General features: G+C 37.3%; 2 annotated features.

The window, feature by feature from the left end:
* Positions 7913-8113: a silencer, noted in NCBI's record as "peak4566 fragment used in MPRA reporter construct". NCBI's record gives its function as "represses an SCP1 promoter by STARR-seq MPRAs in K562 erythroleukemia cells {active_cell/tissue: K562}" and the evidence as "EXISTENCE:reporter gene assay evidence [ECO:0000049][PMID:32103011]".
* Positions 8473-8673: a silencer, noted in NCBI's record as "peak4565 fragment used in MPRA reporter construct". NCBI's record gives its function as "represses an SCP1 promoter by STARR-seq MPRAs in K562 erythroleukemia cells {active_cell/tissue: K562}" and the evidence as "EXISTENCE:reporter gene assay evidence [ECO:0000049][PMID:32103011]".

Here is a 14058-nt window from a genome sequence, read left to right as displayed (position 1 = left end):
ACTACAGATCCAGGAAGCTCAGAGCCCACCAAGGAGAATAAATGCCAAAACAAACTAACAATGAAACAAAGAAACCCTACATCTAGGCCTGTTCCAAGACTGGGTAATTTATAAAGGAAAGAGGTTTAATTGACTCACAGTTCTGCATGGCTGGGGAGGCCTCAGGAAACTTATAGTCAAGGTGGAAGAGGAAGCAAACATGTCCTTCTGCACATAATGGCAGGAAGGAGAAGAATGAGTGCCCAGCAAAGGGGGAATCCCCTTATAAAACCATCAGATCTTATGAGAGCTAGCTCACTATCACAAGAACCAGATGGGGGAAATCGCCCCATCTTCATTATCTCCACCTGGTCCCTCCCACAAAACATAAGGATTATGGGAACTACAATTCAAGGTGAGATTTGGGTGGGGACACAGACAAACCATATCACATATCATTTTCAAACTACAGAAAGTCAAAGATCAAGAAAAAATCCTGAAAGAAGACAGGGAAAATTTAAAAAGCAATCTTGCCTATATAGAAACAAAGATAAGAATTACATCTGACTTTTCCTGAGAAACCATTTACTATGAGCTAAATATCCCCCAAATTTCATATTTTTGAAATGAGATTGTTGAAACTTAATCCCCATTCTTGTGGTACTAACAGGTAGAGCCTTTGGGGAAGGGATTAAGTCATGAGGGCAGAGCCATGGATTACAAGTGCCATGTAGTAGGGCACTTACAAACGGGCTTGAGGGAGTGAGTTGCCTCTCATTTTCTCTTCTGCCATGTGAAGACACAGTATTCATCCCCTTTTGCTTTTTTTCCCTTCTGCCATGCTGGGACACAGCATTCATGCTGCCATCTTGAAGACAGAAACTGGGGCCCTCACCAGACACTGAACTTGCTGGTACCTTGATCTTCAACTTCCCAGCCTCCCGAACTGTGAGAAGTAAATTTCTGTTCATAAATTACCCAATGTGTGGTATCTTATTGCAGCACAGACTGAGACACCATCCAAGCAAGTAGACACTGGAGTGAAATATTAAAAGTGTTGAGAGAAAATATCATCAACCTAGAATTCTGTAACATACAAAATTACCCTTCAATAGAGAAGGAGAAATAAAGATTCTCAGACAAACAAAAACTGAGGAAACTTTTTGCAGGTAGACCTGCCTTCCAAGAAATGTAAAAAGAAGTTCTTTAGAGAAATGGAAAATAATACAGCTCAGAAATTCATATCTATATTAGGGAAGACCATCAAAGAAGGAAAAGTGAAGGTAAAGTAAAACATCTTACTTTTTCTTATTCTTAGTTGATCGAACAGGTAACAGTTTGTTAAAAATATAATACCAACAATGTACTCAGTTATATATGCTTATATCTAATGTGTGTATATACATACACATAAGCATGCAGGTATGTGTATATATAAATGGGGGAGAGGGAGAAATTAGAATTATTTCACAATAAAGTATTTTCATAACTCATAAAGTGATAGAGTGTTATTTTAAAGTGGACTTATATTCATGGTAAATGTATACGACGTATATTGCAAACTCTATAGGAATCACTTTAAAAGTAAAAATATAGTATAAGTGGTGCTGGAACAACTGCACAACTACATGCAGAAAATTTAATCCAGACACAGACTTTATGCCATTCACAAAAGTTAGCTCAAAATAGATCATAAACCTAAATGTCAAATGCAGAAGTAAAACTCCTGGAATATAACATATGGGAAAACTGAGATGACCGTGGGTATGGTGATTAGTCCTTAGATACAGCACCAAAGGCATAGTCCATGAAAGAAATAATTGATAAACTGAATTTTATTAAAGTTAAAAACTTCTGCTCTGCAAAAGACAATGTCAAAAGAATGAGAAGACAAGCCAGAGACTGGGATAAAATATTTGCAAAGGACCTATCCAATAGATGAAAGTTATCCAAATTATATAAATAATTCAACAATAATAAAACAAATAACCCAATTTTTTTTTAAATGGGCCAAATACCTGACTAGACACCTCACCAAAGATATACAGATACAAATAAGCATATTAAAAGATGCCGCCCTACATCTTATGCCATCTGAGAAATACAAACGGAAAGGACAATGAGATACCACTACTCACCTATTAAAGTGGGTAAAATCCAGAATATTTACAACAGGAAATGTCCATTAGAATGTGCAGCAACAGGAATTCTCACTCTTGCTGATGAGAACGCAACAGTGTACACCCACTTCAGAAGACATTTTGGCGATTTCTTAGAAAACTAAATATGCTGTTACCATACAATCCAGGAATCATGCTCCTTGGTATTTAACCGAATAAGTTGAAAACTTATGTTCACACAAAACTCTGCATATGAATGTTTATAGTAGCTTGATTCAAAATTGTAGGTACATGAATAAATAAACTGTGGTAGAGCCTAACAATGGAATATCATTCAGAGCTAAAAGGAAATGAGCTCTCCAGCTTTGAAAAGACACTGAAGAACTTTAAATGCATATTAGTATGTTTTAAAAAAAAGCCAATGTAAAAAGCCTACGTATTATATTATTGCAACTATATGACATTGCAGAGAAGGCAAAACTATGGGGGCAGAAAAAGACCAGTGGTTGCCAAGGGTTAGAGTGAGGGAAAGGATGAATTGGTGGAGCACAGAGAATTTTTAGGGCAGTGAAAATATTCTGTGTGATACTATATTGGTAGATACACAAAATTATATATTTGTCTAAAACCGTAGAATGTAACACACCGAGAGAACCCTAATGTAAACTATAGATTCTGGGTGATGATATATCAATGTAGTTTCATCAGTTATAACAAACATACCCCTCTGGTAGAGAATGTTAACAATGGATGAGACTATGCATGCAGGGTGGACAGTGGCAAAGGGTATTCAGGAAATCGCTGCATCTTCTCTTTAATTTTGATATGAACTTAAAACTACTCTTAAAAAATAGCCTTAAAAATAGTATCCCCAATAGGAACCCATAAACAGTGTTATCAGCTACCAATTGTTAGATAAAGTTATTATAGTAAAATATAAAATATTTCCCTTCTCCTAAGAAACCTAGAGCCTGGATGATGTATTAAGGCCTACCTATAATAAAACAACTCTCCACAAAAGGCAATAAAGTATTAATTGTGTAATGTGGGAATGCAATCAGAGTTAGAGTGGAAAAAGATAATTTCAAGATGAAGTCCTCTGATAACAGGGGGAACTGATGGGGTCTTGAATGGTAGATGAAGCTGTAATAAATAGGAAGGAGGCATTCTGAGACAGGGTACTAAAGGAAAAGTTAGAAAACAGGCTTATCACTATTCACAATAGCAAAGACATGGAATCAACCTAAATGTCCATCAGTGAGAGACTGGATAAAGGAAATGTGATACATATACACCATGGAATACTATGCAGCCATGTAAAAGGAACAAGATCATGTCCCTTGCAGAAGCATGGATGGAGTTGGAAGATACTATCCTCAGCAAACTAATGCAGGAACAGAAAACCAAACACTGCATTTCTCACTTATAAGTGGGAGCTGAATGATAAGAACACATGGACACATGATGGGAAACAACGCACACTGGGGCCCGTCAAAGGGGGCATGGGAGGAAAGAGAGAGCATCAGGAGAATAGCTAATGGATTCTGGGCTTAATACCTAGGTGATGGGATGATCCATGCAGCAAACCGCCATGGCACACAGTTACCTATGTAACAAACCTGCACGTTCTGCACATGTACACCAGAACTTAGAATAAAAGGTGAAGAAAAAAACTAAGAAAGAGTATACTTTAGAGACTTAGGGAAATGTCTTTGTTTTAAAAAGTGTACTGTAAAAAAATTAAGAATTAAAAAACATTAAAAATAAATAATAATAAAAGAAAACAGGCTTATTGATAGGACAGAGTGGTTCCATGTAATGAAGCTGAGAATGTGGGTTTCTTTGTAAAGAAGTCAAGGGAGACACGCCTGAACAGGCAGGCTGTGGCAAAGCTGGCAATAGGGCAATAGGGGTGGAGGGACTCTAAATGTTTAAAATGTTCCGACTCTGATCTCTAGGCAATAAAAACCTGCTAAAGATTGTAGTGAGGGAAAATGCCATAGTTGAAGAACTTCTAGAAAACTCTTTGGAAAGAGCATACAGGTAGAAAAGAGGGTATTTTAAGTGGGAAGAAGGGCTGGTCATGTAAACAAATTATTTAATTTTGTCAGATGAGTCAACTGAGAGAGTCAATGATGTGCCTCAAGACTTGTGGATGATAGAGCAAGGAGTCAAAATCAAAGCTATTAACCTATCGCCTTGAACATATCTATTAATCTATGTCATTCCTTTCAGGAATTATTTCAGGTGAAATTAAAGTATGTGAAGTTTGTGTTCAAGTCCTACAGTTTACTTTTTCCTCCAAGCGTCACAGTACATTCTACTCCACCACAATTAACAACTCCAACCTCAGCCCTTTCATCTTATCGCAAATCACACACCTGGAACATTCTTCTCAACCTTCCAAAACCCCTTTCAGGAAAAGACTCTGAGAAATGGATTTTATATAAAGATACAAATGTCTAATAAAATTTTAATAAATAAACATCTCTCTAAGATGTCTGATTTTAAGATATAACACAGAGGAATGTTACCCTCATGGCAAACATCGAGACATATTTTGGTAAAGAAAAGTCTTTCTGACGAGCCTGAAAACATAGATATATAGGGGGCCTCCTATTGATAACCATCCTACTTGTGGAAAATTGCTCCAGAAACATATTTACACTCTCTTGTCCTATCATTGTGGCAGACAAAGGTGACACTGGAGAAAGTGAGAGGAAAGAGAATAAGGTTTGCAGCCCACAGGGAATGCTGGTGGGTCAAGCTGTGAAAATGACTTGTAAGCATCACAAGTTATTATTGCAGCAACACAGAATGGCAATGAATCACTGCACAACAAGCTTCCTGAGTCTCTGGAAATTGTCTCCCCATAAAATAAGGAAGTAATTCTTGTTTTTAAGAGGAAATAGATGCATACAATATTTGGCTTGAAGAAGAGGCCTGCCCTAGAAAAGACAGGGTTCAGTCTACATACAGATCCATTATTGTGATGGTCAGCAAAGAGAAGTGTCTGGAAGTGTGATTTAGCCATCAAGAAATTACATTTTTGGAACTGCTTTGACTATATATATATATACTACAGGTCAAATCCCATTATAGGAAAGATTATTACACTAACAGCCCACTTTTCTTCTGAGCATTCATAACTACGTTAGTGTATACTTCTCTTTCACCTTGGATACCTAAGGGAATATGATCCAGAAAAAGGAACACTCAGTGGAAAAAGGAGGAGTCACAGTTCTCTGCTTCTTGGAACATAAAGAAGTGCTGAGTGTTGAACTCTGTGGTCTGCCTCTTCTGGCACATGTCATGGCTATAAGAAAATGAGTCAAACTAAAGAATGGACAGAATTAGCATATGCTTGCTAATGCTAATTTCATGATTACCAACAGGCTTTCTGATTCCTGAGCATTTCTACCTTCATTAAGCTTCTAACTGAAATGCCAGTGAAACTTTACAGCTAACTCTACAGCTAACCCAACTGTCTCTCTCATTTGCTATAATGCCAGCACTGACCTCATCTCTTGCTTTCATCCACCACTCCCCACAGCATTTGTACCCCCTCTTTCCCATACACACCCATTTTATTTGGGGAGTCATGACCCCACACCCCTTAATTATGGGGGCCAGAGCAAGACAGACACCTCTTCCTACCCATACTCTTTCTGGGTCGGGAGGGGTATGGGAAGGTGAATGGCTGGAAAACTTCTTTGTATGGGGTTTTCTTTTTCTGAATTAAAAAAAAAAAGATTTTATTAACAACAAAAAAAAATTGTCAACTTTCTGGTCAGTGACCTTTAGAAAATTGTAAGGGATACTAATTTATAAAAATTGTCTATCTCCAGTTTAAAACCATAACAGTGTCCTTTAACCTAATTCAACAACCCAAGAAAGTAATAGAGTAACATTTCTTGGCTGAATCAATACTGCATTAAAGAAAGGTGCTATCATTGAAAAGTTATGAATACAAAACAGCTCAATGATGTATTAGTGTCATCGCTCGCTGTCTCTTTCAGTTCGCTTGCATTACCGAATATAAGCAGAAAAGAACCCTTCTTGTGTTTAGATTTGTCAGTGAGATCCTATTTGTATTCCACTCTGCCCTGTATTAAGGTTTTACATCTTCCATTCAAAGCACTGCAGGTACAAAAGATGCAACTCAAATATCAGAACAACTATTGAAGCCTATTTAGTGTTTGTTAGTGCATTCTTGAAGAGTTCATGTTTTAAAAATCATTTAGTAACTTGTCTCTAAAAGAAGGCAAATCATTACTGCCAAGATCTTCTTTCCTTTGTGATACAGGAAGTCTCAAAGCAATTTTTTCATGGTCATTTAGCACAAACTTCAATATAATTTTCAAAAAATATTAAGCTTTTTAAAGGGTTAATATCTTTGATAAATTAAAAAACACTTACAAATCAACAAGGACAAAACAAGCAGCCAAATAGAAATTATAATACCTTGTGGCAATGCAGGTTTGTTAGAACAGGCATTTTCATCCTTTGCTATTGGGCAGTAAATTAGAAAATTTACTTTCTGGAAAATAATTTGGTAACTTCATATCAAAATCCTTAAAAATATTTTACCCTATGTTGAAGCAATTTCACATCTAGGTGTTTACCCAAAGAAGGGGAAAAAATATCAGGCATGGATTTTTCAAAAATGCCGACATGTGATTTCCAAGGGTATTAATTATATCATCTTTAAATTCCTGATAAATTAGACATTACAATAGTAACCAACAATAAGGGACTTTCCAGAGCAGACACTATATCCAACATAATACCTAGCACAAAAGTAAAAACGTAAAAAAATTGTTAACTGATTTAATACATAAGTGAACATTTATTTGAAAAACCAGTGCTCGTAAAAATGAGGCCCACAGTCTGGCAACACCAATGTCACCTTGCTAGAAATACACATTTTGAAACCCTAGCCCAGATCTATTAATTGATAAATTCTGGGGGTGGAGCATAGGAAACTATATTTTAATAAGCCCTCCAGATGATTCTGATGTACACTAAGATTTGTGAAGCACTGAGCTAGAATATTATGCACCCTTCAAAAATTAAAATCTCCCAGCTTCATTCTATCTTTAACATTTTTTCTGCTGGGCGCAGTGGCTCACGCCTGTAATCCCAGCACTTTGGGAGGCCGAGGTGGGCAGATCACGAGGTCAGGAAATCGAGACCATCCTGGCTAACATGGTGAAACCCAGTCTCTACTAAAAATACAAAAAAAATTAGCCGGGCGCGGTGGCGGGCGCCTGTAGTCCCAGCTACTCGGGAGGCTGAGGCAGGAGAATGGCATGACCCCAGGAGGCAGAGCTTCCAGCCTGGGCGACTCCGTCTCAAAAACAAAAAAAACAAAAACAAAAAACATTTTTCCTACATTTATCTCTACCATCAGAGTAAGCTATTTAAAATTCTCCAAACAGCAGAGACTTAGTTCCCCTCTAAGCCCAGATGCCTCTGGAAACCAAACACGGAAAGAAGCTGAAAGGTAGCAAAACCTTTATTGGGTTGCCCTTGTCAAATTTTATTAAGATCCTTGCCTGGTGTTGTGATTGAAAATGTCCAGAATCTGGAAATAGAACTGTGTTGAAATTCTAGCTGTACTACTTACTAACTTGGAACCTTGAATAAACGAACTTCTTTGAGTTTCCATTTCTTCAACTATGGAATGAGGCTAAAGATACCAATATGTCAGTGTTTTAAAGTGTCAATATATTTAACTCCATGTATCACCATGCACACATTAGATCCTCCACAACTGTTAATCCCCTTTCCTTGGATCAGTGCTGGTTTCCTTAAGATCCCTCGTGTATGCTTAGTAAGCAGGGAGTTATGTGAAGACATTTCTCACCATCTTGGGTGTTTGTTACAGTGTTTGACACATGCAAGGTAATTCATAAATACTCGATGATTGATGGATTGACTGGTGTGATGAGTAAGACTGAGGCAGAGTTAGAGAATCCAGTCCTTTGGACCTCACTACACTGTATGGAACCACTTGAGAAAGATGAGAAAAGCTTAAGCCTGTTGCCACTAAAAGAAAAATGCCTGTGAATAGAGTAATCTTCCCACTCCTTACCATGCACAGTTATCCTCCATTATCTGTGCTTTCCTTCCTATAAATGAGATCAGATCTGTTCAAACAGCTGTCAGGCTGCCTTTAAGGCAGAACAGCCTTGGGTGATATTTACCAAGCTGTAATAAGAGATAACATACAACTTCCAGATGTCCCTTGTATTGGCAAACGGAAGTGTTGAACATACTCGAAAGATTAAAACTGAAGGAATTCAGTTATTTTCCCCAAAATTGGCAACAGAAATTGAAAAGATGACATCATGAGACCAATTTGAACATGGAATAGAAAAATCTATCAAAATATGGCACTTAATACTTCTTTGGGAATCTGTTATAAGCCAGAAGTCTTTGTCAAAAGAGACCCTCTCTTTCAACATAATGAACCCTTCACATGCAACCTAACTCCTACAAAAAGAAACACATGCACGCAGTCTTACGGACTGTATTACATGAAATGAGAACAGATGGACAAAGTTTACTTTATTTCCAATATTGCAGTAGTGCTTGAGGGGGAAAAAGTTAAGACATGTTTCTTGCCATGAAAGCACTTATAAGCAGGCACATAAACACATACATAAAATAAATAATTATAGGTATATTTATAGAGATTGGATTAGGGTACATCAGGTGCACAGAAAAAAAAAGGGCCCTTTTATTAGTGGTATCAGGGGAGGGAGAAGGCTTAAACAGCTTATCTTGAGATAAATCTCTAAAGATAAGCAGGTCCTCAGAAGCCTTGCTCCTCAAAGTGTGGTCCTTGGACTGCAGCTTGCTAGAATGCAAAACTCAGGCCTCATCCTAGAGCTACTGAATCAGAATTGAATCTTGTGTTTTAACGTGATCCCCAAAAGATTCATGGGCACATGAATCTTAAACCTTTAATCTGAAACCTCTAAGAAACACTGGTCTAAATAAGTTTTAGAAGAGCGTTAGAGGCAGAAAACTTTCTGCAGTAAGTTGATCAAATACCATGAGACATCAAGATAGCTAGTGTAGGCCAAGAATTAAAAACTGGAGGCCCATAATCCAAACTCAGCCCACATATGTCCTTTATTAGGATTGCACAGTGTTTTAAATATTGAGAAATTTAAAATAAAAATCCAGATTTTCTGATTTCCTTGGAAAAAAAATCAGAAGTTTTGGCCAAACTGGACCCATATTCACATATAAGAACAAAGAACAGGATAGACTGTCAGTTTCAGACAAAGGTGAGCCCACAATTACCTTTCGCTCAGCCCTCTTTGCCCATTGTCATTATTACCTTTCTAGTCTCAAACAGACATTTGAGACTGCTACCCTTGGAACTGACTCTGCTTTATGGAAATTTAACAAGGACTGAAGAGAGAGAAACAAGACAGCAGCTAAGGTGTGTTGGGAACAGGCTCCCCCAAAATCTGGCCATAAACTGGCCCCAAAACTGGCCATACACAAAATCTCTGCAGCACTGTGACATGTTCATGATGGCCACGATGCCCACACTGGAAGGTTGTGGGTTAACTGGAATGAGGGCAAGGAACACCTGGCCCACCTAGGGTGGAAAACTGCTTAAAGGCATTCTTAAGCCACAAACAATAGCATGAGCGATCTGTGCCTTAAGGACATGCTCCTGCTGCAGATAATTAGCCAAACCCATCCCTTTATTTCGGCCCATCCCTTTGTTTCCCATAAGGAATACTTTTAGTTAATCTATAATCTATAGAAACAACGCTTATCACTGGCTTGCTGTCAATAAATACGTGGGTAAATCTCTGTTCGAGGCTCTCAGCTCTGAAGGCTGTGAGACCCCTGATTTCCCACTCCACACCTCTATATTTCTGTGTGTGTGTCTTTAATTCCTCTAGCGCCGCTGGGTTAGGGTCTCCCCAGCCGAGCTGGTTGGCAAAGGTGGAATATGGAGTTGATGGGAAAACTCTGAATATGTCTTTGGCTGTGAAATAAATACTAACAAAAAGTAAGAGGGTGTTAATGTGGGAGAGAGAGGGGAAAAAGGGAACATAATTCTGGGGGAAAAAAGATGATATCAAGATCACAGAAGGACTTAGCCCACGTCTTGTTCTGAGGAAGGATACAATGGTGAGGTGTGCTCAGATATAGATAATTGTTCAGGTTCTCACAGGTAAACTAAAGAGTTTCTGTCTGAGAACCTCAATACTCTCCACACAGTTGCAGGCAAGATCATCTGCTGAGAGTAAAGTGGTAGTGACAGGAATTTCAGAAGAGTGGTGAACATTTAGAACAGCAACCCACAGTGGGTAACAGGAACAGGAACTGATCAAAGCTTTAGATGAATTTTCACATGATCTGGGGAGCCCCACTGAAGCTAGGGAGCAGAACAGAGAAATATCAAGCTTCATGAGTATGATGAACTCGGGTCCTTCCCTCCAAACGACCATCACATGAATGAGAAGTGAATGTTTGAACGGGCCAGAGTTTGCAGGCTGAATACAGAAAAAGGTCAGGATGCTAAGAGTGTTAATAAGAGTGGCTAAAGTGACCCACCATGAGGTCCTGGCTAAACTACAACTGAAGGAAAACTCTGAGAGTATTAATAAACTTAGAGAAAAAAGAGAAACTAAGGAGATAGAGGTGACAGTAACTCAAGAAGTAGATTTAAAGAGCCAATGAATAGTCACTGGTAGATCCAGGTTTTGAATTTAAGGCCATCTGATCCCAAAATCTATACTCTTTCTGCTATAACTCACCATTTCTATAAGTTACATAAAAATATAAGGACAAATCTCCATTTTTCTGAAATGGCACAAGTAGAATCTATTTGCCCTGGAATCACTAGGAGGTCATCCATATGTTGTTAAATAAGCAGAGTGCTTTCACTTCTGTTGACTCCTCTGCTTCCCCTTGATTTCGTATTTCCTCATGCCAGCTGTTTTCTATATTCTATGAAAGTCTTCAAATTAAGACAGAAGCAAGGATATTTATGTATTGTCATCTGTAAACCTGCCAGTTCAAAAGAGGACAAATAAACAATTGTTATACAAGTTCCACATGTTTTAAAAGAGGCAGAAGTGTCAACACTAATATTTCTGGCTTCAAATTACCACCTCTGTAATTGTAAAATGCTCTATTGTGCATCCTGCAGATTCATTAAGCTATCATGATGATAATAACCATTATTTTTATTCTTAACACTGAAACATTTGAGGCTTTGGCATGCAAATCCCAAAAATTACTACCTGATACTAGGTCCACTGAATGACAAAGAATAAATGACTTTAAGTATATACTTAGTCTCATCTTACCGGTAATTATTATTGTCACTAAAACCAATTTATGGTGTTTCTTTTCCAAACAACTCCTTGAAGCTTTATTTGACCTTATTTAGTTTACATAAGTGATTATCAAATGTTATTGTTATGTATATTATTCAGTCAATTACCCAACAATTTAAAACATAGTAAGTGCAGACTTGGGAAGAGTATAATTCACAATATTGCAATAGGTTTGAAACACTAACAGAGCACAACTTTCAGTAAGTGCTAAGTTTTTTTTTAACTCTGCTCTAACAGTTGAGGACAAATGCTTAATTGAAGAAGGCAAGAATGAGCCAAAAAGAAAGAAAGAGTTTAGCAATGGGCAAATACATTCTAGGCTCTATTCACCTCAGAAAGTACATTTCCCTACCTAAAATTGGAGAATGGGAAGATAAAAGTCATTTAGGAGTTCATAAACCCATCCTCACTACAATGGTAGAAAGTCTTTTGCCGAAGGCAGTCACAGGCAATAACAGGGTTTACAAGTTATTTTCCTTTAAGAAGTCTCAACCACATTAGACAATTGTGTACCGTAATAAAAAGAAATAAAAATAGTTAACATTAATGGAATCTATTTGGTTAGTTCTTATAGTAGAGTAACACTCATCACTGAACTTTAATTACAACTAGTTGCATAAAAACATACCAGGACACACTGCAGTTAGTATGTGTCAGTTTTGATGCAAAAAAAAAAAAAAAAAAAAAAAAAGCTTCATTCAATAAATACCAATATGGGATAATTGAAATATATTAACAAGGGGTATTAAACAAAATGGACAAAAGAGGGACCTATTCCACGCACATATTCTATCTGCCACCTGACAGCTTTGCATCCATAACCTAATGAGAAGGGGCTGCTAGTCAACACCAAACCAATACTCTACCTTGGACATGCTGGTCCATGAAAGGACTTCAGTGTACTTAAATGTCTTCCGGAATAAAAGTAGATTGAATGGATGAATGTATTGGTCTATGTGTAAGTGTTCTCAGTTTGACTGTTTAAAAAAAAATTGCAGTTTATTAGAATAGATTAAGTTCTTCTTAGCTAATTCTTTAACTGTTTTACTATGTGCTAAATTTTAAAGAGAACTTCTTCAAGTATTCATTAACAATAATTATAATATCTGGACAATATTTTTGTATTAGTCTCAGTTTTCTGTATTTTTTTAATTGAGCCAAATGACTCATATTGCCATTCCTAGACCCTTTGATTTGTATTCATCCAATAAGTAGATATCTTCATAGCATTGATAAGCAACCTGATTTTGATTTGGATGAGCCTCCTCCTGCTCAAGATGCTGTGTTTGCCATTGTAAAGTTAAAACAGTTATAAAATACAGTTCTTGCATTCAAAGAACTTATAATATCATACTGGTAATAAATTAATAAATTGATTCTATAAACAAAGACACAGATGGATGAGGCTTCCACCCATTGCTCCGACTCTATCTTTCACTGTAGCATTATATCTATGCTTTGTGAATACAGGAGTACTCATAATTAACCCAAAAAGTTGTGCTACTTCAAGTCTCTATGACACCATTTACACAGCCAATTCTTCAAGAATACCCTTCTAATTTTTTCCACCTATACCTTTACCCTATGCACTTTCAACACTTCTAACTAGAGAAGTTGCCTCATCAGTGAAGCCAATTTTTATTTACAATAAAAGAAATGACTATTTTATCTCGTCTTCCTCCATGATATCCTATACTGGCTTCTGTCACACACCCAAAGTTTACAGACTCACACATTCCAGGCAACTAATGGAGGTGAGGGACACAGCAAGGTTAAAAGAAATAAATAAGAGACTGTAACGAATTGGGGAAAGTGCCTAAATAAAGTACTGCCATTAATTTTATTTAATTGTCTGCATGTCAAACAAGGTACAGATAAAACTTAACCTATGATCCCTTCATTTTGGAATGTATATTCTATCTAACTTTGCTTCATTTACATGAGTATACCTTTCTCCTCCCCCAAAACATAACAGTTCTTGAAGGGCAAGACTGTGTCATAATCACCTCTATTTTCCCAACTTCTAACACAGTGCCTAATACATATTAAAAACTACCTGAATATCTGTCGAATGTAAGGATGCAGTATTAGTCACTAGAAAGTGCCAGAGCTTTGTCCATATTGTTTGAAGTTTTTATGTTTAATCTTGGGGAAAAGATTTTCTGAGGACACACCATACAATTGTTGATGACAGATACTTTTTACAACTAACTGTCTTAGCCTGTTTTGTATTGCTATAACAAAACATCTGAGACTGTGTAATTTATAATAAAATTAAATTTTTTTGGTTCATGGTTCTGGAGGCTGGGAAGTCCACAATCAAGGGGCCACAACTGGAGAAGGCCTTCTTACTGTGTCATTCCATGGCAGAAGGCAGAAGGGCAAAACAGAGCAAGAACAACAGAGAACAAGAGGGGATCACACTTACTTTTATAGGAAACTCACTGCCACAATAATGACATTAGTCCTTTTCATGAGGGTAGATCCCTCATGACCTAAACAGTTCCCACTAGGCCCCACTTCCCAAAATACTGCATTTGGAATTAAGTTTTCAAGTCATGAACTTTGGGGAACCCAAT

Source organism: Homo sapiens, chromosome 3, assembly GCF_000001405.40.
Source record: "Homo sapiens chromosome 3, GRCh38.p14 Primary Assembly".
In the NCBI taxonomy this organism is placed as follows: domain Eukaryota; kingdom Metazoa; phylum Chordata; class Mammalia; order Primates; family Hominidae; genus Homo; species Homo sapiens.
Note: the sequence above shows the minus strand (reverse complement) of the source record. Positions and strands in the feature narration are given on the sequence as shown.